The sequence below is a fragment of the Homo sapiens genome, chromosome 1 (genome assembly GCF_000001405.40).
Source record: "Homo sapiens chromosome 1, GRCh38.p14 Primary Assembly".
NCBI lineage: Eukaryota > Metazoa > Chordata > Mammalia > Primates > Hominidae > Homo > Homo sapiens.
Window position 1 is genome coordinate 235412716 of NC_000001.11, and position 23385 is coordinate 235436100.

General features: G+C 45.3%; 1 protein-coding gene and 1 pseudogene across 4 annotated transcripts in view; both read left to right on the top strand.

The window, feature by feature from the left end:
* The window catches only part of TBCE (tubulin folding cofactor E), an 85017-nt gene that overhangs the window by 45289 nt on the left and 16343 nt on the right, over positions 1-23385 (top strand). For 2 of the 4 annotated variants that reach the window (NM_001079515.3, NM_003193.5), the window contains exons 4-9: positions 1718-1903; positions 6758-6846; positions 14425-14524; positions 17990-18089; positions 21489-21565; positions 23030-23125. In NM_001079515.3, coding sequence (NP_001072983.1) covers positions 1718-1903; positions 6758-6846; positions 14425-14524; positions 17990-18089; positions 21489-21565; positions 23030-23125 — 648 coding nt within the window. Of the gene's footprint in view, positions 1-1717; positions 1904-6701; positions 6847-14424; positions 14525-17989; positions 18090-20230; positions 20384-21488; positions 21566-23029; positions 23126-23385 lie in introns of all 4 variants that reach the window. The other 2 variants (NM_001287801.2, NM_001287802.2) reach the window with 2 other exon arrangements.
* Positions 20232-20517, top strand: RPS21P1 (ribosomal protein S21 pseudogene 1; annotated as a pseudogene).

The following is a 23385-nucleotide window of genomic DNA, read 5'->3' on the forward strand; positions in this document are numbered from 1 at the left end:
TGTGAACCCACATCTTAGAGAAAACTGTACGTATGTTTATGTTAACAAAATTTATCACAAATATTAGTTTTCATCCTTTTCAATTATTATTATTATTATTTTTTTGAGATGGAGTTTTGCTCTTGTTGCCCAGGCTGGAGTGCAATGGCATGATCTTGGCTCACCGCAACCTCTGCCTCCCGGGTTCAAGTGATTCTCCTGCCTCAGCCTCCCCAGTAGCTGGGATTATAGGCATGTGCCACCACACCTGGCTAATTTTGTATTTTTAGTAGAGATGGGGTTTCTTCATGTTGGTCAGGCTGATCTCGAACTCCTGACCTTAGGTGATCCGCCCTTTTCAGCCTCCCAAAGTGCTGGGATTATAGGCATGAGCTACTGTGCCTGGCCAGAATTATGGTGACTTCTAAAAAGGTCTGATTTCTTTCTTTAAGAGTTAATGGTTGTTGCCTGGGCAACGTAGTGAGATGTTGTCTCTTAAAAAAAGTACGAAAAGTGTTAGCTGGACATGGTTGCTTGTACCTGTAGTCCTAGCTACGTGGGAGGCTGAAGAGGGAGCATTGCCTGAGCCCTGGGAATTGGAGGCTGCAGTTAGTTATGGTTGTGTCACTGCACTCTCACCGAGGTGACAGAGTGAGACCCCCTTTCTTTAAAAAAAAAAAAAAAAAATTAGGCGTGGTGGCTCACGCCTGTAATCCCAGCACTTTGGGAGGTCAAGGCGGGAGGATCACTTAAGGTCAGAAGTTCAAGACCAGCCTGGCCAACATGGTGAAACCCTGTCTCTCCTAAAAATAGAAAAATTAGCCTGGGTGTAGTGGCACATGCCTGTAGTCCCAGCTAATTGGGAGGCTGAGGCAGGAGAACTGCTTGAACCCAGGAGGTGGAGGTTGCAGTGAGTCAAGATTGCGCCACTGCACTCCAGTCTGGGCAATAGAGTGAGATTCTGTCTCAAAAAAAAAAAAGAAAAAAAGTAATGATCGTAAGCTGAAATAGTGTTTATAATACAATTTTGATCAATTTATAGAGTTCACTGTTTCTTCTTTTTTTTTAAGTGACAAGGTCTCTCTCTGTTACCAAAATAAAAAATAAATAAGTAAATAAATAAATAAATGATTTTGTATATAATCCACCTACGATTTTTTTTTTTTTTTTTTTTTTTTTAGATGGAGTCTTGCTCTGTCACCCAGGCTGGAGTGCAGTGGCATGATCTTGGCTCACTGCAACCTCCACTTCCCGAGTTCAAACAATTCTCCCGCCTTAGCCTCCCTAGTAGCTGGGACTACAGGTGTGCACCACCACGCTGGACTAATTTTTGTATTTTTAGTAGAGATGGGGGTTTCGCCATGTTGGCCAGGCTGGTCTTGAACTCCTGACCTCAGGTGGTCCTCCTGCCTTGGCCTCCCAAAGTGCTGGGATTACAGTCATGAGCCACCGTGCCTGGCCACCCCCATGGATTTAATACTTCTGTTTTTTCTAATGTGAATTGTCAGTTTCATATTACTTGTTAGTTTATTTAAAGGGATTTAACATGCTTGCATAAGATCATAACCCTTTATGGTCAATCATACTGATTATATATTATTTTAGTATGTGATATTCTCTTTTATGCTAATTTTGATTTTTTAGCATGTAGAAATTTTTGAAGACCTTCAGAAAATTGTATTTATGGCCTTTCTTGGTGGGTAATATTTTCTGTGTTTCATTTGCTCTTCTTTACCAGGCACCCGACAGGAGGATCCTTTATTCGTCCGAACAAGGTAAATTTTGGAACAGACTTTCTTACTGCAATTAAGAACCGCTATGTGTTAGAAGATGGACCAGAGGAAGATAGAAAAGAGCAAATTGTTACAATTGGAAATAAACCTGTGGAGACTATCGGTTTTGACTCTATTATGAAACAGCAAAGGTAAGTGGAGTTTATAACGGCAGAGCTGACTTTTATGGTTTTATTAAGGTTCAGAATTGAAATACCCATGACTGTATATGGATGCTCATGACTTTGCTCCTAAACTGGTTTATGGTTCCACAGAAACGGAATCAAAATCTGAGGAATCCAAGAATTATTTAGGGAAATTAAAATTCTTATGTTAGCACAGGATTGGTAGATTTATCCAGTTTGCAATTGAAATATTTATTGGCCCATTATTACTATTCACATCATATTATCTCGTGTTGACTAAGTAACCAAGGCTGACGTTTGGGTTCTTTTCTATTTCATGGTGATGATGGTAAGTTGGGAATGGAAACAGCAGTCTGAATTGTTCCCTATGCCGTGGAGCGTGCTGGTGCCGTCTGTTAATAGTAGGGAGTAGTTCTCACCTCGGGCTGCACATCTTCATCACCTGGGGAGCTGTGGAACATGCGGCATCCTTGGTCCCATCCCAGATCTGCTCAATCACAATTTTGGGATATGGGCTCTAATGCATTTTATTGTATTGTATTGTATTGTATTTTTATTTTTATACAGACAGGATCTTGCTATGTTGCCCAGGCTGGTCTTGAACTCTTGGGCTCAAGTGATCCTTGGCTTCCCAAAGCACTGGGGATTACAGGGATTAAGCACCCGGCCTTAAAATAATGCCCTTTAAAACTGCTGCACAAGAACATTCTCTTTTCTCTGAAACTGTATATTGTGACTTTGTACAAGGAGGCTTTCTAGTCATTCCAGTGAACTGCTTGAATCAAAGAGAGAGAAAGATAGTATTTACACAAAACCAGTCATGGCTGCACAAGAACTGGCCAGGCCTTGCAGCTTCCTACTGTGGTGAGTGACTTGGACGAGGCATCTGGGTAAGGACCCCTGGTGGCCACTGTGAGGATAAATTTGTGGCCACTTGGAGGCCTGCAATATATTTTCTTTCAGTCTCTAAAAGAATTAAGCTATAGTTCTGTCCAAAGTAAATTTCTTTACTATCTTTTGTTATTGTTGTTATTAATAAAAGTGCACATGGGGACAATGTGGAAAATAAATACATTTCTTGGTACATCTACTCTTTAGCATACATGGCCCCCATTAAAAAAAACTCAGAATAAATCAAGAGTTTTAGAAAAAGGAACAAATGGACTGTTCTTTATAAAACAAGATACCTTTATTGTTGAGAATTTAGAAATTACAGATTGAACAAAAAAGTATCATGATTAATGCCACCACTTAGATATAAGTATCGTAAACGGGCTGGGTGCGGTGGCTTATGCTTGTCATCTTAGCACTTTTGGAGGCCGAGGCAGTTGGATCACTTAAGGCCAGGAATTTGAGACTAGCCTGGCCAACATGGTGAAACCCTGTCTCTACTAAAAATACAAACAATTAGCTGGGTGTGGTGGTACGCACCTGTAGTCCCAGCTGCTTGGGAGGCTGAGGCAAGAGAATCGCTTGAACCTGGGAGGTGGACGTTGCAGTGAGCCGAGATCATGCCGCTGCACTCCAGCCTGGGTGACAGAATGAGACTCTGTCTCAAAAAAAAAAAAAAAAAAGAAAAAAAAGACGTAACTATCATGAACAGTTTTTACTGTTTACCCTACTGATTTACTTGGATTTAAAGAACTACATGCTTCATAGGGTTAGAGTTCTTTGCTTTATTTTTTCCCATTTAAAATACAAATAGCCTGGGCAACATGGCAAAACCCTGTCTCTACAAAAAAAATAAATAAATAAATGCAAAAATTAGCTGGGTGTAGTGGTGCGTGCCTATAGTCCCAACTATTTGGGAAGCTGAGGTGGGAAGATCACCTGAACCCAGAAGGTCAAGGCTGCAGTGAGACATGATTGCACCACTGCACTCCAGCCTAGGTGACATAGTGAGACCTTGTCTCAAATGACACACAAACCAAAAAAAAAAAACCCCAAATATTTACATATCTCTTACCCAAAGGAAGCATTTTTTTAATTGGTTAATCTCTTTCTGAGAATATTAACAAATTGCAAATGGATTTTCGTCCCCTAGTTTATGAACAGCTATGTAACTCATGAATTTTTCTGTAAATGACCCTACTACTTGAGTATCATTGCATTTAATCATTAGCTAGTGTCTTTCTTGATTGAAAAGGTAAAATTTTAGAGATTCTGGAGTAATCTCATATGTTGGCTGGAGATTAGTCAATTCAGAAATTATGAGACAGCTTGGTGGAATGCAGCCAGTGTTGGAGTTAGGCTGGGTTCAGCCGCCAGCTAAGGCACTTTTGGCTCTGACAGAAGTTAGAGATAGCTGCTTATTGTTTCTAAGCCTCAGTTTCCTCAGTTACAACATAAAACCTAAGATATAAGTGCTGTTGTGAATAACAAATGAGATCCTACAATTAATGATAGCTGTCAGTTAGGAGTTGAAACCTCTACTTTAAGCCATTGTCTTATCTCATCAATAAAATCCAGCTGACCAGCTTTGAGATCGTACCACTAAGAAGAGACTTACTCAATAAAGGAATCAAAAACAAATTAAAAAATCCATTATGTATGGTTTCTCTTGGAGATGGCTTTGGCTCTGGAGTGATGCTTGGACTGAGATCTGAGTCCTCATGCTTAGTGCCAAGTTGACCTGGCAAAGAAGGCTATTTTAAATTTTAGGGGGAAGGAGCGACATCTGTCGGACACAGTGCAAACTACAGTTTGAAGTAGTTGCCTGTTTCATGAGATTCCTGTAGTTCTTTTCAATGATGTCATAAGCCTACAAAGCTGGCTTTTGGGCAATTGCCGCGATAAAACACAAGTATTTATGTACATCTATCATGCATCAATAGAAATATTTGTTTTATAAAAAAGCAAGTATCTCTTAAATCAGTGTGGAACTGGAAATGGAATTGGTGGCGTCCAGTCTGATTCCAGGGTTTGGGAAGTTGGGCAGTGCCCAGCAGACACTGAGTTGACAGGACATAAGTAATGATTAAGTTGTTTGGCCCTAACTACGTACTTAATTGGAACTGTGAGGTATTTATTTTGGCCTAAGTACCATGAAAAAAATTACTGAAACCCTAAGGACCGTGTGGCCTGAGAAAGTTTGGGACCCTCTAACCTTGAATTCTGCTGCTGCCTTTTGTACCCTGGTTTTTCTTTCTTTTTTTTGTTGTTGTTTCTTGTTTTTTGTTTTGAGACAGAGTTTCACTCTTGTTACCCAGGCTGGAGCGCAATGGTGTGATCTCGGCTCACTGCAACCTCCACCCTCCCGGGTTCAAGCGATTCCCCTGTCTCAGCCTCCTGAGTAGTCGGGATTACAGGTGCCCCCCACTATGCCAGGCTAATTTTTGTTATTTTTTTTAGTAGAGACAGGGTTTCACCATGTTGGCCAGGCTGGTCTCGAACTCCTGACCCCAGGTGATCCGCCCACCTTGGCCTCCCAAAGTGCTGGGATTACAGGCATAAGCCACTGCCCCCGGCCATGTATTTGTTCTTCTGTGACTGGCTTATTTCACCTAGCATAATACACTCAAGGTTCATCCACATTGCGGCATATGTCAGAATTTCCTTCCTTTTTTTTAAGTTCGCACAATATTGCATTGTATATGTGTGCCACGTTTTGTTTATCCTTTCATTTGTTGATGGACACTTGGGTTGCTTCCACCTCTTGACTACCAGGAATAATGCTGCTGTGAACTTGTGCATATACCGTGGCCTTTTAGAGATGTGAAGTCTGAGGCACAGAGGTGCTAATTCACTTCTCCAAAGCCAAAGGAGATGGTGGAATTGGGATTTGAACCCAGGTGGTCTGGTTCCAGATTCTGTGTTCTTAGACATTATGTATGCGGATTCTTTTCATGAATAGAAAGCACAAGATTCTCTACACTTAACAAATGGCTGCCGGAAGTATCTGGTCATGCTGAAGCTGGGTGCGCTCTCTAGGAAGTACCTTAGGGAGGCTTTTACATGTGAGTGCGAGAAGCACTCCATAGCATGTACTTCTGCGTGGTTGGGAACAATCTAAATGTCAGCAGAAGAGTATGTACATTCCTTGTGGTCTGTTCATATAACAAACGCTGTAAGGTGTGAAGATGAATGTCCTGGAGCTCCATGTGTCACCGTAGTGAAATCTCACCACTGAACAATAGACTGTTGAGGAAAAAGTCAGGTGCAGAAGGCTCTGCGGAGTAGAATACCATTTATATCAAGTTTCAGAATATTAAAAAATGCTGTAATTGTTTAGGGATATGGAAATATATGGTAAAAATATTAAGAAATGCTTAAGATTAAATAAACACCAAATGTAGTATAAGGCCCTGGGGAGGGCCGGGCGTGGTGGCTCACGCCTGTAATCCCAGCACTTTGGGAGGCGGAGGTGGGTGGATCACTTGAGGTCAGGAGTTCGAGACCAGTCTGGCCAACATGGTGAAACCCCGTCTCTACTAAAAACACAAAAATTAGCCAGGTGTGGTAGCAAGCGCCTGTAATCCCAGCTACTGGGGAGGCTGAGGCAGGAGAATCACCTGAACCTGGGAGGGAGAGGTTGCAGTGAGTCTAGATTGTGCCACTGCACTCCAGCCTGGGCAACACAACGAGACTCTGGCTAAAAAGCAAAAAGAAAAGTTTACCTCTGGGAGTAGAGGGAGAATTGTGTTTGGAGAGGGCCCCAGAGGACTTCAGTTGCATTTGTAATATTTGTAGTGCTCTTTTTCTTTTTTGTAATGCTTTATTTCTTAATTTGGGTGGTGGTTACTGGTATTTGTATATTATTTTTGGTACCCTTTTATATGTCTGAAATGTGTTTAATTTTTTAAAGGGCCAGTGGATAGCATACGTGCTTATGTATCCATGTGAACTCTGTTTTTCATGCAGTCAGCTGAGCAAGTTGCAAGAAGTTTCTCTGAGGAACTGTGCAGTAAGTTGTGCTGGTGAAAAAGGAGGAGTTGCTGAAGCATGTCCTAGTATCCTTTTCACCGAGAGCTTGTTATTGGAATCTGACTATGGATTTTATACCTGTGCCAGAGACTGCTAATTGCCTACCCATTGTCCAGTCTTGACAACTTCCTTCCTAATGCAGTTCAGTTTTGCTTGGTGTAGTTGGGGCCCAGATAAATTATTTACCTTCCCAGACCCCTTTGCTTGCAAGTTTGCCAGCATGTTCAGGTGGAAGTTTCTACACCGGGCTCCTTGAAAGGGGGCACACTTGGCCAGGCGCAGTGGCTCACGCCTGTAATCCTAGCATTTTGGGAGGCTGAGGCAGGTGGATCACGAGGTTAGGAGATCGAGAACATCCTGGCCAACATGGTGAAACCTGTCTCTACTAAAAATACAAAAATTAGCCGGGTGTGGTGGCGTGTGCCTGTAGTCCCAGCCACTCAGGAGGCTGAGGCAGGAGAATTGCTTGAACCCGCTAGGCGGAGGTTGCAGTGAGCTGAGATCGCGCCAGTGCACTCAGCCTGGAGACAGAACAAGACTTCATCTCAAAAAAAAAGAAAGGGGGCACACTTGTTTGGCCTCTGCCTTTTGCCTGTTGCTTTTACCCTTCCCCTGCCTTGAGCGGATGGAAAGCCCAGGGCTTTGGCAGCTGTCTTACAAGTGTGAAGAAAGCCATCCAGTACAGATTGGGAGAGCAGAGGAGAGGGAACCTGGGCTGCTGACTGTGTACTGGGAACCTAAGATGAATCTGCTTCAGCCCTGGTCTGTTTTCTCATGCAGTTCTTTTTTTTTTTTTTGAGATGGAGTCTTGCTCTGTTGCCTAGGCTGGAGTGCTGTGGCGTGATCTCAGCTCACTGTAACTTCCGCCTCCCAGGTTCAAGTGATTCTTCTGCCCTAGCCTCCCAAGTAGCTGGGATTACAGGTGCCCGCCACCATGTCTGGCTAATTTTTTTTTTTTTTTTTTTTGAGACGGAGTCTCGCTCTGTTGCCAGGCTGCAGTGCAGTGGCGTGATCTCAGCTCACTGCAACCTCCGCCTCCCGGGTTCAAGCAATTCTCCTGCCTCAGCCTCCCAAGTAGCTGGGGCTACAGGCGCCCGCCACCACGCCCAGCTAATTTTTGTATTTTTGGTAGAGACGGGGTTTCACCATGTTGGCCAGGATGGTCTTGATCTCTTGACCTGGTCATCCGCCCACCTTGGCCTCCCAGAGTGCTGGAATTACAGGCGTGAGCCACCACGCCTGGCCTCGTCTGGCTAATTTTTGTATTTTTAGTAGAGATGGGGTTTCGCCACATTGGCGAGGCTGGTCACGAACTCCTGACCTCAGGTGATTCCCCTGCCTCGGCCTCCCAAAGTGCTGAGATTATAGGTGTGAGCCACATACCTGGCCTCATGCAGTTATTTTTTAGTGGGAAAGACTCTGGTTCTGTTTCATGCAGCTGAATGCAGTTTGTTATAATACCCCAACAGAGGCTCTTTATGAAGTTTGGAATCTCTTTTCTCTACCTGCTCTTATTAGTGTTATTTTTGTCATATATTTCTTTTTTGCCTGTAAGCAAAAATGTTGGAGGTAGGTTAAAAGAAAATTTTAAGGATGGGCATGGTGGCTCATGCTGGTAATCTCAGCATGGTAATCTCAGCATTGGGAGGCTGAGACTGGAGGACTGTTTGAGACCAGCCTTGGCAACATTGCCAGACCTTGTCTCTATAAAAAATTAAACAAAGCAAAACAAAACTGGGTGTGGTGGCATGTGCCTGTCATCTCAGCTACTCGGGAGGCTGAGGTGGGAGGACTGCTTGAGCCCAGGAGTTTGAGGCTGTGATGAGCCATGATCATGCCACTGTACTTCAGCCTGGGAGACCCCGTTTCTATTAAGAAATTTCCCATGGAGGCTGGGCGCAGTGGCTCATGCCTGTAATCCCAGTACTTTGGGAGGCCGAGGTGGGCGGATCATCTGAGGTCAGGAGTTTGAGACCAACCTGGCCAACCTGGTGAAACTCCATCTCTACTAAAAATACAAAAATTAGCCAGGCATGGTGGTGCATGCCTGTAATCCCAGCTACTTGGGAGGCTGAGGCAGGGAGAATTGCTTGAACCCGGGAGGCGGAGGTTGCAGTGAGTGAGGTCATGCCATTGCACTCCAGCCTGGGTAACAGAGTGAGACTCTGTTTCAAAAAAAAAGAAAGAAATTTCCCATGGAAACCAAATAGACTTTCTTTAACTTTAAAAGGTCTTTCCCCAATTCATTAAGTCTGTCTGATCTGTACATAATAACTTTTGCAAAAAATAGCAGTTTTGATCAGTTTTTTTCTGAGTGAAGAGATGCCAGGTGAAGTAGCTCTCTTTGGCAAAATGCCCCGACAGTGCAGTGAAGGAAATTAGATCAGACATCTCTCCATCTGTGTGTCTGAGGGTTCACTTCCCTTGGGGGAAACAGTCTGGGGGTCTGTTGGGACCTGTGGTAGCTGCACAGGTCTCTGCCTGTCTCTGCCAGTCTCTGCCCCTGAGCAGCCTCCTCCGTTGACCCCAGCGTGCTGCAAATATGAGGTCATTTTCAAAAGTAGGCAGCTGGAGTGAGGGGAATTGAAGTGGATGCAGAAAAGAGTTTGCTGAGGAGCCAGTGCCACAGCAGTGTCAGAGCATTCTGCATTCTGCCTGGCCTATTCCTAAACTATTTCAGAAGATTGGTAATCGGGCTGTGTACAGTGGCTCATGCCTGTAATCCCAGCACTCTGGGAGGCCAAGGCGGGTGGATCACCTGAGGTCAGGAGTTCAAGACCAGCCTGGCCAACATGGTGAAACCTTGTCTGTACTAAAAATACAAAAAATTAACTGGGTATGGTTACGGACGCCTCTAATCCCAGCTACTCAGGAGGAGGCTGAGGCAGGATAATCACTTGAACCCGGGAGGCAGAGATTGCAGTGAGCCGAGATCACACCACTGTGCTCTAGCCTGGGTGACAGAGCAGGACTCCATCTCAAAAAAAAAAACCAAAAAACAAAAAACGGGGGGGCCAGGTGTGGTGGCTCACGCCTGTAATTCCAGCACTTTGGGAGGCTGAGGCAGGTGGATCACCTAAGGTCAGGAGTTCGAGACCAGCCTGGCCAACGCGGTGAAACCCCATCTCTACTAAAGTACAAAAATTAGCCAGGCATGGTGGTGGGCGCCTGTAGTCCCAGCTACTTGGGAAGCTGAGGCAGGAGAATCGCTTGAACCTGGGAGGCAGAGGTTGCAGTGAGCCGAGATCGCGCCATTGCACTCCAGCCTGGGCGACAAGAGCGAGACTCCGTCTCAAAAAAAAGGACAGATGTGGCGGTAAATGGGTTTGGGAGTGCTGGCTGTTGGGTTGCTCAGAGCTGTCAGCAGTGTCCTGAAGAATCAGCATGTTGTTTGTTTATACTGCACTTTTCTGGAGAAAAATGTCCCCCAGGACACGAAGAAATGAGGTTTCACGAAGATAATCAAGTCATGATTGGTATTTGCAGATACAGTGATAAATGTCTTGCAGCTCCCGATTGAATTCTCGCCAGAAGTTGAAGTATTGCTTTGGGTGCTTAATCCAGTCATCCTTTTTTGGGTTGGTCTGTCTTTGAGGTTATTTACTCTACCAGAACTCGAGGCAGTGGGAGAGCTGCAGACCCGGGTGTGTCAAATCTGAGGGTACTTCCAGGGGAGGGGATGAGCTTCCTCCTCCCTCATGACCTGCGGAGGAGAGTCTGTGCCCAGGTGCTTGGCCTGTGCTTTCACGGGGGCTCCTTGAACGGTGTGTGTGGGAGGGGCGACCACATATTGACAGCTGTTGTTCGTGGTTGATTTCAGGATGTAGGTGGTCTGTGTGCTCTGTACAGACCTTAGAAACAATAACTCTAGGCTACATAATGGGAAGCAGCAGTGAGGGAAGCGTGATTGGACTTAAACCCTTCCTCAGCAGCCTAACAGCCGATTTAGCGGGGTTAATGGAAACACAGGGTGGCCAAAGTGTCACCCAGAGGCCGGGAAAGCACCCCTCGCATGAGCCTGTGTTAGGCGGTGTCAGGAAGCTAGGGCAGCCGAGAGGAGGCTGAGGAGGAGGGGCAGAGGAGCAGTTTACAGAAGCCATCATGCAGGTGTGGGCCCAAGGGCAGAGGAGGAGCGCGAGGGGACCTGGAGGGTGTTTGCCCGGTCTGGAATTTTCGGCAGCCTGCACCGACTCTTTTCCCTTCCATTTGATGCGACGGCCACGGCAAAATTGAGGCTATTCTGCAGGTACTCATATTACCGATTGAAATGCAACTGTTTACGAGGGTAGACCCCATTGTTAGCTCTTGGGCTGTAATAGTCCAGGCAGCTGGCAGGATTCGGGCATGGGTAGCTGGCGACCGGGTATGGAGTCATCCCTTTCTTCGCATCTTCTCTGCCGTCCTTCCCTTGTTCCTGACCTTCTTGCAGAGCTTCCTAATTGGTTCCTGCCTAAAATTATTTCCTTTCTAACCAATGCTTTGGAGTGATGCCACTGTTTTTGTAAAGAAACTTTCTCCACGTTTTATGTATGTTTGATGACTCCCTGTTGCATTATGGGGTGCAATGATATGGATTTTGGATCGAGGATGACTTGGGTGTAACTTCCCACTTGTTCATTTGCACACAATGACACAGCTCTGTGACTGCTGTGCCACCGTTTGTTCTGCTATGAGAAAGCAAAACAACCCAGCAATCAGCATAGTGCCTGGGTCTGGTTAGCAGTGGCAGCAGCAGTGCGGGTGGTGGCTGTCACTGCTGCTGTTGTTATTACTGGATCTTAGAGCTCTTTTTTTTTTTTTTTTTTTTGGAGATGGAGTCTTGCTCTTTCACTGGGCTGGAGTGCAGTGGCGCGATCTTGGCTCACCGCAACCTTCTGGCACCCAGGTTCAAGGATTCTTCTGCCTCAGCCCCCTGAGTAGCTGGGACCACAGATACGTGCCACCACGCTTGGCTGATTTTGTTTTTGTTTTTTTTTTTTCTTTTTTTGAGATAGAGTTTCGTTCTTGTTGCCCAGGCTGGAGTGCAATGGCATGATCTTGGCTCACTGTTACCTCCGCCTCCCAGGTTCAAGCGATTCTCCTGCCTCAGCTTCCCGAGTAGCTGGGATTACAGACATGTGCCACCATGCCTGGCTAATTTTGTATTTTTAGTAGGGATGGGGTTTCTCCATGTTGGTCAGGCTGGTCTCGAACCCCCGACCTCAGGTGATCCGCCCGCCTCGGCCACCCAACGTGCTGGGATTATAGGTATGAGCCACAGTTCCCGGTCCAATTTTTGTATCTTTAGTAGAGACAGGGTTTCACCGTGTTGGCCAGGCTGGTCTCGAACTCCTGACCTCAGGTGATCCGCCCACTTTGGCCTCTCAAAGTGCTGGGATTACAGGCGTGAGCCGCCGCGCCTGGCCTGGATCTTGGAGCTCTTCTTCTGTCGCTGGCCACTCCTCAGTCGCTTCTGTGGGACCTTTCTCTGGTTGCAGACTGTTGGGTGTACCCCAAGGCTCAGACTTGGGAGCCCTGGGCTTCTTGAGAGACCTTCTGGGGTGTGGCTGGCACTCCTCCACGGCCTGCCCTCTTCCACATCTGTCTCTCCAGCTGCAGCTTTGATACCTCTGTCTGGATGTCTCATAGCCATCATAGATTTAGCATGTCCAAAACTAAGACCCACGCCTGCTCATCCTGTAGTCTTTTCCCTCTTAATAAATGACAGTTCCATTTGCACAGGCCACAGATCTTGGAGTTGTCCTTGACACTCCCTTTCTCCCATGCCCCACACCTAAATCCATTGGCAAATCCTGTGAGCCCCACTTCCAGAGTCAGACGCCCCCTCTGACATGTTCTGCCCTCTCATGCTGCTGGTTTGCTCCGGCCTCCTGGAGACTCCCGGCCCTCCTTTATTTCCCTGCAATTGTGCTCAACTCAGAAGCACAGTGACTTTTACTGGATTTTTTTGTTGTTGTTGTTTTGTTTTTTGACATAATATAGATCAAAGTCAAAGCAGAGTGATTTTTAAAGGACCCAGGTCACCTGTCGCTGTTTCAAAGCCTCCAATATCTCCCGTTTCAAGCAAACTTTGAAAAGTCCGTTTCAAACAGACTTTGAAGTGGCCTGCAAGGCCCTTTGTGATGTGGCCTGGCCCCTTATTCCTTGTGACCTTGTTTCTAGTACCCCCAAGCCCCTCTGCTCGAGTCACACAGGCGCTGGCGGTCCCGGTCATAGGCTGAGCTCGTTCCCACCCCAGGGCCTTTTGCTCTTGTCACTCCTCCGCCATGTGCTCCTCTCCCAGATGGCGTTCCCCCATTTCCCTCAGCTCTCTGCTCAGATGCCCTCTTAGAGGAGGTGGTCTTCCCTGGGCACTGCATATAGAACAGCCACACACCTTTCCTGCATGCCCTGCTCTGTCCCTGAGCACAGACAGGCCTGCCTGTGACACACTGTTGAGGCCCCTGTGTCGTGATCGTCTCTCCCCGATGACACTCTGCTTTGCTCACTGCGATGCTCCTGGCCCTAAATAATTACTTGCAGAATAGACGAGTGCATTGAATAATTTCCACACATACACATATTAGATGAGAGTGTAGCTCCTCCAGTAGCTGGCCCGGTCCTGCTGCAAGCTCCTCTGTCTTTCTCTGCGGGGACCTGGCTAAGCTGTGCCCCTTCCTGATGGTGCTGCACCTGCACCTAGCCCCTCACCTCCACTTGTGTTGTCTGTCGGCTTTGCTTTTCCAGCCCCACTGTGTTATCCTCTCTGAATCCCTGTATCAGGGGCAGTTGGAGTGATACTGTTACAACTGCTTCCAGGCTACCGGACACCCTCTCAATTCCTAAGTCATGCGCTTTTGCACATGTGTCCCAAGTTGACCCCTCTTCTCTGCCCTGTAGATGCTATTTATCTGGAGATTCCTATGGTAATGGTGCCCCATAGAAGGTCATGTGCTGGGGTGAGGCTTGTGTGTATACCTTAGGTGCTTCAGAAATCAAAGTTACCCTCACTGCTTTTCCCCTCTCCTTTTGTTGGATAGTGCTAGGATGGTTTAGCGTTATGACATTTGGTTCTTTGTCATTTGATTGTAGATGTTTGTCTCAAGTTTTGAGTATATAACAATGAACTTTTAATTTATTTTTAGTTTTTTGAGACAGTCTCACTCTGTCACCCAGGCTGGAGTGCAGTGGCGCAGTCTCCACTCACTGCAACCTCCGCCTCCCGGGCTCTAGAGTTTCTCTTGCCTTAACCTCCTGAGTAGCTGGAATTACGAGCGCGTGCCACCACACCTGGTTAATTTCTGTATTTTTAGTAGAATGGGGTTTTGCCATGTGGGCCAGGCTGGTCTTGAACTCCTGACCTCAAGTGATTCCCCCGACCTTGGCATCCCAAAGTGCCGGGATTACAGGCGTGAGCCACCGCGCCTGGCCTCACAATGAACTTTTTCGTTTCTCAGTGAAGTTTTGGATAACTTAAAAATATTATGTACTCCTGAAAAAATTTGAAGCTGACTAGAGGGTATAAAATGAAAAGTTAAAACGCTCATGCTCTGGAATTAAGAGTAACTCCTTTTATGTCTTTTGTGAATCTTTTGAAATTACTGTTTCTTAACATGTGCTTTTAGATATCAGAAAGGTAGATTTGTCAAAAAACCTGTTGTCATCATGGGATGAAGTGATACACATTGCTGATCAGCTCAGACACCTGGAAGTCCTTAATGTCAGGTATGAACTCTTGGTTGCTGAATCTTCATTAACAATAAAGCTCATCTCTCCTTGCTTCCTCACAGCATCTCTGTGGAAAGAGGTAGGGAGCCGGAAGGGTTAAGGCTGCCACCTGATGATACAGGAGTTAAGAAGGAATTACTCAGGCTGATAGTGAGGGTATGGAAGTCCTCAGTAAGGTTTTCCTTTTAATGAAAAGCAGCCCCAAATTATTTTCCTTTCTAACACAAGCAGCCTGTAAAATCGAGCTGCAGACATAGATGCAGACAGTTGAGCCAATCAGGTTCAAGATGGCAGCTCCATCTTCCCTTCTCTTTTCCAGCCACGTGTACAGTAAGGAGCAGACAAGATGGTGCCAGCCAAAGGGAAATTTCATTTACATAGTAAGATTAGGGTGGGGTGGCCAGCCTTTCCTGGCTGTGTAAATGTCATGCCTGATTGAACCAATCTGTGAGCATTAAGTAAATCAGACACTGCCTCCTCAAGTCAAACTAAAATCTGTGCATCTGGGCCGGGTGCAGTGGCTCACTCCTGTAATCCCAGCATTTTGGGAGTCTGAGGCAGGCGGATCACCTGAGGTAAGGAGTTTGAGACCAGCCTGACCAACATGGAGAAACCCCGTCTCTACTAAAAATACAAAATTAGCTGGGCGTGGTGGCATGCAACTGTAGTCCCAGCTACTCAGGAGGCTGAGACAAGATAATTGCTTGAACCCGGGAGGCAGAGGTTGCAGTGAGCTGAGATCGTGCCATTGCACTCCAGCCTGGGTGATAGAGCAAGACTCCGTCAAAAAAACAAACAAGGGCCAGGCGCAGTGGCTCACGCCTGGAATCCCAACACTTTGGGAGGCTGAGGCGGGCGGATCATGAGGTCAGGAGATCGAGACCATCATAGCTAACAAAGTGAAACCCCATCTCTACTAAAAATACAAAAAATTAGCCGGGCGTGGTGGTGGGCACCTGTAGTCCCAGCTCCTCGGGAGGCTGAGGCAGGAGAATGGCATGAACCTGGGAGGCGGAGCTTGCAGTGAGCCGAGATTGTGCCACTGCACTCCAGCCTGGGCGACAGAGCGAGACTCCATCTCAGAAAACAAACAAACAAACAAAAAATCTGCATCTGCTGCCAGCTTGCCTTTTTCTTCTTGGAAGTCCCCTCTCTCTTACTAGAGAGAGAGCTGTTTTCCATCTTCTTTCTCTTGCCTTTTAAACCTCTGCTCCTAAACTCCTCATGTGTCTGTGTCCTAAATTTTCCTGGTGGGAGAAGAGGAATACCAGGTGTATACCCCAGACAACGCAGCTGCTTCGCTAGTAGACATTTTTATACAGCCAGATTTTGGTTTACTTGAATTTATCTAACTTTAACTTTAAGGACACATTTAATCTTTAAGGACACTTTATTTATTTATTTATTTATTTATTTATTTGAGACAGTGTCTCGCCCTGTCGCCAGGCTGGAGTGCAGTGGCGTGATCTTGGCTCACTGCAACCTCTGCCTCCCGGGTTTGAGCGATTCTGCTGCCTCAGCCTCCTGAGTAGCTGGGACTACAGGCACGAGCCACCACGCCCAACTAATTTTTGTGTTTTTACTAGAGACGGGGTTTCACTATGTTGGCTAGGATAGTCTCAATCTCTTGACCTTGTGATCCGCCCACATCAGCCTCCCAAAGTGCTGGGATTACAGTGTGAGCCACTGTGCCCAGCCTTATGTATGTATGTATATATGTATGTGTGTATATATATATATATATTTTTTTTTTTTTTTTTTTTGAGACAGAGTCTCACTCTTGTCGCCCAGGCTGGAGTGCAATGGCGCGATCTCGGCTCACTGCAGCTTCCCCTTCCCGGGTTCAAGGGATTCTCCTGCCTCAGTCTCCTGAGTAGCTGGGACTATGGGTGCCCACCACCACTGCCAGCTACTTTTTGTATTTTTAGTAGATGCAGGGTTTCGCCATGTTGGCCAGGCTGTTCTTGAACTCCTGACCTCAGGTTTTCCACCCACCTCGGCCTCCCAAAGTGCTGGAATTACAGGTGTGAGCCACCATGTCCCGCCTCTTTAAGGACACTTTAATCTTTAAGGGCACATTGATTATTATAGCCTTGCAAACGGTCACATGAGGTGATTCATGAATAAGGAATGTGTTTTAACTTTTACCAGGTGGGGATGAGTTAGATTTTCATTGAACTGCAAGATCTTATTTTTAGCCTGACCGTAAAGATGGAAGGTTGGGGGAGGTGATATTTAATTGGGGAGTAGGAGAGGAGAGGTGATATTATTAAAACTGCTTGTTTATTTGAAAACTTCTAGCGTTTAATTGCTGTAGGAATGAGTAATTTCATTGGGATACTGTTTAATTCTGTTTTGATAAGGATTTTTCATTAATCTACCTATTTTACTAATGTCACACTTTTCTAGGCCTTCCTGAATATTTAATTTGTTTTAATCTCAGAACCTAACTTTCCAAGGGCTTAGCCAGGCTTCCTCCATTTTTTTTTTTTTGAGGCAGAGTCTCACTCTGTTGCCCAGGCTGGAGTACAGTGGTATGATCTTGGCTCACTGCAACCTTCGCCTCCCAGATTCAAGTGATTCTCCTGCCTCAGCCTCCCAAGTAGCTGGGACTAGAGGTGCCTACCACCACACCCGGCTAATTTTTATATTTTTAGTAGAGACGGGGTTTCATCATGTTGGCCAGGCTAGTCTTGAACTCCTGACCTCAGGTGATCCATCTGCCTTGGCCTCCCAAAGTGCTGGGATTACAGGCGTGAGCTACCGTGCCCAGCACAGGTTTCCCCTTTCATTCTTGAACCATTTTTGCATAGACATGTGAGTGTACAGTAAAGCCGGTAGACAGGCCTGAATGAGTTGTGCTCCCAAATAGAGCAAACGGGGGCAATTCAACCCATGGTGTCTCATCTTCTGGAAATACGGGCTTGTGTTTTTTAATAGTATCGTCTTTCAAAGTGACTGTCAGGATTGAATACTTTCTGAGATTAGGGTTTTGAGAAATAATTTAAGGGGCAATAATTTCATCCATCCTCATAGCCAAAGGGCAGACTCTATGTTTAGAGAAGCAAAATTCTAGCCCATGATTCAGTGTATCAGTAAGACTCTGGAGAACGGGACTTTGTTTTGCAGTATCCAGAGCCATATCTTGTGAAGCTGGAAGCTCACCTTGCAAATGCCTGAGTTTTGGGTTTAGGAAGCCTACAGCCGCATACAGGTGCCCTAATCCTGTGAAAGCATCTTTACACAGCTGATACCAAAAAGTTGTATGTTGTAAATGTTAAAAATTAGGTAGTCTTGATTCACTTGAATCATTAAAAAAGTGATTTTTAAAATATAATTCCATTTTAAGATTGAAACAAATCAAACCCCTTAGATTAAAACCCAGATTGTTGCTTTCAACAACTATTTCAGTTGGGTTTACTGTATAGAAATAAGTACATTGTATCTTTTTTTTCTACACAGTGAAAATAAACTAAAATTTCCCTCCGGTTCAGTATTAACTGGAACGCTTTCTGTACTGAAGGTTTTAGTCCTCAATCAAACAGGAATAACGTGGGCTGAGGTAATCATATTTCTTTGTTTTATTACACATTAATAAGCAATTAAAAATGTTTGGTTTAATAGAGAATTGTTAGTACAGTTTAATAGTACAACTGTGGCTTCATTTAAATCATCCCAGTATCTATTAATAGATAACAAGATTCATTAAAGTGCCTTATAAAAACGAGTTAAAAGAGCATCATAGTTGAGTTTTGCATCTGGAAATCCATGTCCTATCTCAGCTCATTTTGACTTGTTCTGGTGCCTTTATAAACAGTGGCGCTCCGTTATGGTATGAACCAGTATGTGCTGAGCTTCAAAAAGCCGTAGTGTTGGCTATTGACTAGCTTCCTGAGTTTTCCTGTTAGTTTTTTTTAGAACAGAAGCCAAGCAGCAGAAAGGTTCTCACATACTTTTCTTGTTAGAAGTTCGGCTCTTGGAATCCACTGTTCATTTTATACAGCCGGGCTCAAAAGTAGACTTGTGGGTCCTTGGCACAGCAGCATTTGGGACTTATATCTGGCAGTACTATTTCCTGTCTGAGGTGTACTGACTTCACACACCCAGAGCATTCCACTTTCTTTTTTTTTTTTTTTGAGACGGAGTTTTACTCTTGTTGCCCAGGCTAGAGTGCAATGGTGCAACCTTGGCTCACTGCAACCTTTGCCTCCCAGGTTCAAGCGATTCTCCCACCTCAGCCTCCCAAGTAGCTGGGATTACAGGCATGTGCCATCACACCCAGCTAATTTTGCATTTTTAGTAGAGACATGGTTTCTCCATGTTGGTCAGGCTGGTCTCGAACTCCTGACCTCAAGTGATTTGCCCGCCTCGGCCTCCCAAAGTGCTGGGATTAGAGGTGTAAGCCACCGTGCCCAGCCCACTTTCATTTTTATTTATTTATTTTTCTTGAGACAGAGTCTCACTCTGTTGCCCAAGGTGGAGTGCAGTGGCGCAATCTCGGCTCACTGCAACCTCCGCCTCCCAGGTTCAAGTGATTCTTCCGCGTCAGCCTCTCAGGTAGCTGGGATTACAGGCATGTACCACCATGCCCAGCTAATTTTGTATCTTTAGTAGAGACAGAGTTTCTCCATGTTGGTCAGGCTGGTCTCGAACTCCTGACTTCAGGTGATCCACCCACCTCGGCCTGCTAAAGTCCTGGGATTACAGGCGTGAGCCACCGTGCCCAGCCCACTTTCATTTTTATTTATTTATTTTTCTTGAGACAGAGTCTCGCTCTGTTGCCCAAGTTGGAGTGCAGTGGCATGATCTCGGCTCACTGCAACCTCCGTCTCCTGGGTTCAAGCAATTCTCCAGCCTCAGCCTCCAAAGTAGCTGGGATTACAGGCGCTTGCCACCATGCCCAGCTTATTTTTGTATTTTTAGTAGGGACAGGGTTTCACCATGTTGGCCAGGATGGTCTTGAACTCCTGACCTCAAATGATCTGCCTGTCTCAGCCTCCCAAAATGCTGGGATTACAGGCGTGAGCCACTGTGCCCAGCTTGGGCATTCCACTTTCAAACCAAGGGTGTAGAAATACATTCCCAGCCATGTTCACCCAGGAAGTGCCACAGAGGCCACTCAGTGAGAGACAGGTGGGCCCCTTGTGCCCTTAATATGCCCGTGGCCATGGAGCCTCTTTCCTAGGGCCCCTCCTCTGTGAGGCGCTTACTCCCTCTCAAGGTGTAGATGTAGCTGGAAGACAAGAAGGGGCCAGACACTGGCACTGGGGCTCACACCTGCAATCCCAGCGCTTTGGGAGGCTGAGGTGGGAGGATCACTTGAGCCCAGGAGTTTGAGGCTGCAGTGAGCTAGGATTGCACCTTTGCACTCCAGCCTGGGTGACAGAGCAAGACGCATCTCACCCTCCAAATAAACTAGGAAGGGCACACAGAAATTGAAGTGGTGGAGATGGCAGTAAAGTTCCAGTGAGAAAATTTAGAAATAGTTGGTGAGGCTGGTCATGGTGGCTCTCGCCTATAATTCCAGCCAGCACTTTGAGAGGCCCAGGCAGGAGAATCACTTGAGGCCAGGAGTTCAAGACCCACCTAGGCAACATAGAGAGATCCTGTAGATGCTATATATATATTATATATTATTATACATAATTATATAATATATAATAATTTTTTGTAATTTTTTTTTTTGTAAAAAAAAAAAATTAGGCTCATGCGCAGTGTGGTGGCAGCAGGCACGGTCTCGACATGCAGAAAGACGCCAGCAAGTTCGTGGATCTGTGCGTGCTGCAGAAATGCTCCACCAGCAACTGCATCATCAGTGCCAAGGACCACACATCCATGCGGATGAACGTGGCCAAGGCCAGTGAGGTCACGGGCAGGTTTAACAGCCAGTTTAAAACCTGTGCTATCTGCAGGACTGTTTGCAGGATGGGTGAGTCAGATGATTCCATTCTCTAATTGGCCATGGCCAAGGGCGTCATCTCAACTATTTGGTTTTTGAGATGGAGTCTTGCTCTGTTGCCTAGGCTGGAGTGCAGTGGTGTGATATTGGCTCACTGCAACCTCTGCCTCCTGGGCCAAAATGATTCTCCTGCGTCAGCCTCCCAAGTAGCTGGGATTACAGACGTGCACTACCACGCCTGGCTAATTTTTTGTATTTTTAGTAGAGATGGGTTTTCACCACGTTGGCCAGGCTGTTCTCAAACTCCCGACCTCAAGCATTCTGTCTGCCTCAGCCTCCCAAAGTGCTGGGATTACAGGCGTGTGCAACCATACCCGGCCATTTTTGTATTTTTAGTGGTAATGGGTTTCATCATGTTGGCCAGGCTGGTCTCCAACTCCTGACCTCAAGTGATCCACCTGCCTTGGCCTCCCAAAGTGCTGGGATTACAGGCATGAACTCACTGTGCCCGATCTCAAAGAACTTTTGATTGGAGAGAATCATGGATGTAGAATATTTGTCATAAATATATAATGAAAACTTTAAAAAATGTATAATTAAAAAAATAATGAAAGAAGAAATAATTGTTGAGAAATTTATGAAAGGATATGAAAAATTAGCATATCCTTTACAAACCCAGATTGGCATTTAGAATTGAGGAAAGGTGTGTAACATCAATTTACTTATTTTGGTTAAGCAAATTCTATCAAATAATAATATGTGCAGTTAGTATCTCCTGTTCCACCTCGTAGCTGCTTTACCTAAACCATGCATTGACACGTACCTCCAAGGCCTCAAAGTGCCCACAGTGTGTGCTCCCACAGCATTAAAATGCACCCCCTTAACATTTTATTTATCACCCCCCACCACTATTCCAGGCCTGAAACAGTCTTATGAACTGTCCGTGAGGCACTTGTTTGCTGAAACAGTAACTGAGCTGAATTCTTGTGGTGGTTCCTATGAACACCCGGGAAGAAACAGCCAGCAGAGGCCGCCTGAGCCTGAACCGAGTTTCTCTTCCAGGTGCTGCGGTGTGTCGCGGGGTGCCCAGGCCTGGAGGAACTCTACCTTGAGTCTAACAACATTTTCATTTCCGAAAGGTAACTAGCACTTACTTAAATGCATCTATCCCCATTTAATCATCATTCTGAGTAAATAAATGGTCTCAATTATATCTAACCTTAATTTTTAGAAGGATTTGCAAACAAGAATTAGGAAAAATGCTTATTATTCATTGCCTTCACAAATTAGAATTTCACTAATTGGTTCTAATCAAAGGAAACTCATCAGAATTAAATATTTGTGAAGACATGAGTTATATTAGTTTTGCATCAGTGTATTAACTTGCTGTTTCTTTTTTTTCTTTTTCTTTTTTTGAGACAGAGTCTCACTCTGTCGCCCAGGCTGGAGTGCAGTGGCGATCTTGGCTCACTGTAACCTCCGCCTCCTGAGTTCAAGCGATTCTTCTGCCTCAGCCTCCCGAGTAGCTGGGATTATAGGTGCCTGCCACCATGCCCGGCTAATTTTCTTTATTTTTAGTAGAGACGGGGTTTCACCATCTTTTACGGGGTTTCACCATCTTGGCCAGGCTGGTCTCGAACTCCTGACCTTGTGAGCCACTGTGCCTGGCCAACTTGCTGTTTCTAAATGGAAGTTCTGTAGGATATGCTATAAGGATTAAATAATGTATTTTTCATTAGCATCATCTGTTTAAGGTCATTGTACCAAAGTACATGTAAAACTTTGTTCTCTGAAATATATTGTTGCCTCATCTCCTTTTTAAATTAATAATATTAAATTACTATGTAAAATTAACCTAACTGTGGGAAAATTTACAACAGATTCTGAATTAAAGGATTCAGAATCTTAAAGATTTTCGTTTACAGAAGGGTTTCATTATGTAGGCAAATGCAGGTTTTTTGTTTTGTTTTTTTTTTGAGATAGAGTTTCATTCTTGTCACCCAGGCTAGAGTGCAATGGCACCATCTCGGCTCACTGCAACCTCCACCTCCCTGGTTCAAGTGATTCTCCTGCCTCAGCCTCCCATGTAGCTGGGACTACAGGCACGTGCCACCATGCCTGGCTAATTTTTGTATTTTTAGTAGAGACGGGGTTTCACCATGTTGGCCCGGCTGGTCTTGAACTCCTGACCTCAGATGATCCACCCGCCTCGGCCTCCCGAAGTGCTGGGATTACAGGTGTGAGCCACCGTGCCTGGCCTGCAGGTTTTTTAAATTAAATTTTTTTATTTTGAGATAATCATATATTCACATGAAGTTTTATAAGAAATGATACACAGAGATCACTTGTACCCATGACCCAGGTTCCCCCATTGGTAACAAGTTGCAAAACTATGATATAGGATCACAGGCTAGGTGTGACACTGATACCGGCAGGAATATGTGCATCACCACAGGGACCACTCAGGTTGCCCCTTTACAGTCATATTTACTTGCTTCTTATCCCCAGCCCTCCATCGCACCAAATGCAGGGATTTTAAGGCTGTATCTTTGAAAACAATTAAGAGATAAATTCACGGTGAAAAAATTTTATTTTCCATACAGGCCAACAGATGTTCTCCAGACAGTCAAGTTATTAGATCTTTCCTCTAATCAATTAATTGATGAAAATCAGCTGTATCTGATAGCCCACCTGCCCAGGTAATTTGCCCCTAAATGCCTGATACAATAGTGTTCAGTCAATTCTTAGTGAAGCAGTTTTCATATGCTATGTATGCTTTCTCAATAGAAACGTGGTAACAATGATGGAATTTCTAAATTGAGTAATTCCCTTTGGGAAATTTTCATTTGAATTCATTTAGAAAATTTACTTGTGAACCCTGTATAATGTGGACTATGTCTGTACCAGATAATTTGAAGAATGAATAATTTGACCCTGGTGATAATGCGGAAAGTCTTCA